The following is a 3,571-nucleotide window of genomic DNA, read 5'->3' on the forward strand; positions in this document are numbered from 1 at the left end:
TGCAACCAAATACCACCTGTTCCCCAAAAACCTATGGAAATATAAAACAAAGAGGCTTCTCTTTTTCGAGTTTAATATTGAAGTTGTTGAAAGTTGGCCACAATCTTCAAACAATGAGATTTATATGAAATATTTAAATTTCTTTAATTGTTCAGAAACAACATAGCTGCCTGCTAATGAAAAGAACTTAAATTTGCTTATTAAAATTACGATGTTAAGCCACACTGTATACAGAAGTAAATAGTGTAATTCCAGAAGTTAAAAAGTTTACAGTAAAACAATGAATGATCTAGGAAAGTTTAGTAGCTATATGTGATGAATATCAGTTATCTCTCTTTGTTCTACATCTCTCAATTCATCTGGTTATTGTTAAATTAATTTCCCTGTAGCACTACTTTGTCCTCTGCATTTCATTGGTCAGAACTTCTCAAGTCTCCCTCTGTGAACAAGGATTAAAACCACATGTTTTAGCCAAATATCCCAAGTCCAACAGAGTTCTATCTGAATTCTAGTTTTCCAAAATTATATAAATCTAGGAAATGAAGGCTAAAGTGTCATTCTGATATTGCAAGATACTACTTTGTATGTGAATACTTACTGGTGAATGCCTAATATCAGTTTCTTTAGATTTTTTTTTTCTTCTTGAGTTAATCTAATTCCCCCGAGATGAAATATTTATATATTTTTCTCTGTTCGATTTAAGCCTCACAAGTTAAGTAAACCCTTATGAATTACAGACTGGAACCCTCCTCATGTTGTGAAATAATGAAATGCAAATCACAATTCAAGTTGCTGCTCTACTTACTCTCCTCCTTTTTATTCCTATTAATTAATCCTACTGGAGGAGCCAATGTCCACTGTGCGGACCACCAGCTGGATGATCAATTTGCCTTGACTTACTTTAAAACAGAAAATTACTGTGCTAGCAGATGTCATTTTCTATGGTAATATATAGCCCTCCTATACACAACAAGATTCCCACTGTTTAGTCAGGACTTTCTAGAATCTGTCCAGGTGAACAGAAAATGTCAAAGCCCACCATGATTGGCCCATGCTCATAGAATTTATGCTTCCAGGTTGATTTACTCAAGGGCTAGATGGAGTGCATTAGAACGAGTGCATTTACTTGTTCATCAAATAAATTTAACATACTTGGTAAATTGCAAGCTTTGTTCTACGTGTTGAAAATGGAGAGGCAGGAAGACAGTTTCCCGGCTCTGAAAGAAGTTAAAAGCGTTGAGAAAAGACATTAGATTGTATGTTAATTTTTTGTTAACAGTACTTTTTAAAGCAAAGTTTTTGCTAAATATTTGTTTAATTTCAGGCATTTTAAGTTCTATATGTATGTTTTACAATAAGATATGATATGTCAAGCATTTCATGATTAGGAGTATAATAAGGCTTCATTTGATAGCAGTATTTTCCAATGGGAACAAAAAACAATAGACTTTACTGCTTGGCCAGTATGACACTGGCTTATGATCAGATCAGACAATGCTTGTCATGTCCAAAAAAGGCAGGAGAAATTGCCAAGCGGGAGGAGAAATTGCCACGGAGCAGGATACATTCTTTTGGCTCTGAATTTGTAGAAAAAAATCAAGACACAGTGACCATATCACATCTTAAAAACGTATTTTGTGTATTTGACACATTGCTGCTAACTTTTCAGCTATTTTTTTTTGCTTCCTTCGTACTTCATTTGTGTATTTTGTGTATTTGACATATTGCTGCTAACTTTTCAGCTATTTTTTTGCCTCCTTCGTACTTCATTTGTTTCTTCATTTGCTTTTTATGTTCTTATGAATAAAAATTATTCATTATTCTGAAATTTGTTTGTTCATTCATTGTTTATTTACATCTGCTTACACCCAAGGAGGTTCTAAGAGGCTTTCTAATAAGAAACTTGAATATGATTTTGATATTAAAAGCAATATCAAAATAAGAGACTGCTAGTAAAAAGGTAGAAAATATTTTATAAGAAAATTTACACTAAGTTGAAAACTTAATTTACCTCAGAGATTTCTCTCAGTGACTTAGAAGAACACGCATAAATAAGATACATTCTCTTACTCTAATTCCTAGCAATAAACGTCTTAACATTAATTTTTACAAAGTTTTGGGAGCCAGTGAACAATGTTATATTCCACAATTGCCTAATTTTCTTTTCTCTGTGTGTGTGTGCCCATGAGTTTCTGTTTATATTATTTATCTTTTAGTAATTATTTTTATTATCTGTAGATTAATTTTGGTGATAGTAATGTTGTAAAATGATAAAAATGGAATGTTCTAGACTAGTAATCTACAATGATTAATGAACAGAATTTAATATAATATGAATTTAGTAATTTCTGACTTGTAGTATATGTGACACTTTTTGCTTAATTTGGTTTCTCTTTAATAATTCATTACTCCTTCAGCTTGTCAGTTGAGAGCTATTTTTGTATCCTTTTTCTGAATAACAGTTAAATTTATTTAAATCTGCCATAAATTCACAAAAAAAAGGCACAAAGATGTTTGTCTTCCTCTTTATGACTCTGTGAGGCCCCTCCTGACTTTGGTCTCCCCAGTGCTTTTGCCATGATTACATCGACTTCTTTGCATGGAAGCCCAGATGATTTAATTTATATCTCTCTTCCTTATCTTTAGCTTTCCAGCTTCATATTTCTGTGTATTAAAATTCCAGATTAATAGTAGAATTTACTCTTCATGTCATTAGTGTTTTGTTTCAATCTCACCTGGTAAAACACCACCAGGGTGTGCTGAAATTTAAGGCTGACACTAACTACTTAGAGTTAGTATCAGACTCCACAGGTTTAAGAGCCCAGGCTTCCATAAGACTTCTCTTACTTCAGATACCAGCCACAAGTGGTGTCCTCAGACAGCCCATTCTTCTGACCAACTGACTACCAATTTATAGGTTCCTATGACCACCCCTCAGGTTCAGTAACTTGCTAGAATGACTTAGGGAACTCATAGAAAATGCTATGTTTAAGATTACAGTTTTATTATAAAGGATACGTACAGAACATGGGCTGGGAGTGAAAAAGACATACCTTCCATGTTTTTTCCCCATAGATTTAGGGTGTGCTGCCCTCCTGGCACATCAGTGTGTTTACCCATCAGGAAGCTCTACTGAGCTTTGAGTCCAGAGATTTTATTGGGGTTGTGTTATGGAGGCTTGCTTATTGTATCGTTGGCCATGTGATAGAACTCAACCCCTAGCCCTAATCCCCTCCTTGGAGGTCAGGCTAGCCCAAAGACCAGCCCCCATCCTGATGCTATTTACAGGTCTCCCGTGAGTCACCTCATTTGTATAAAAAAGAAACTCCAGTCACTCAATCAATTATAAGGGTTTAGAAGCTCTGTGCCTGGAACCGGATACAAAGACCGGAGATATTCTTTATTACCTCACAGATAATAGCTCCAAAGACTTAAGATGTGTGAAAACTGTAAAGGGGATGTTACAAAGATTAACTCTTGGTAGATCTAAATTGAGGCTCAGGATTTCCTAATTTTTACAAGTATAAAAAGAACTTTACATGGTTTATGAATGTGTAAATTGGCACAATCA

General features: G+C 34.4%; 1 annotated feature.

Annotated features, from left to right (window-relative positions):
* Positions 3,020 to 3,571: an enhancer, noted in NCBI's record as "NANOG hESC enhancer chr16:76716883-76717434 (GRCh37/hg19 assembly coordinates)". NCBI's record gives its function as "activates a minimal SCP1, AML or CMV promoter by ChIP-STARR-seq in primed H9 embryonic stem cells {active_cell/tissue: H9 hESC(primed)}" and the evidence as "EXISTENCE:reporter gene assay evidence [ECO:0000049][PMID:30033119]".

This window comes from Homo sapiens, chromosome 16, assembly GCF_000001405.40.
Source record: "Homo sapiens chromosome 16, GRCh38.p14 Primary Assembly".
In the NCBI taxonomy this organism is placed as follows: Eukaryota; Metazoa; Chordata; class Mammalia; order Primates; family Hominidae; genus Homo; species Homo sapiens.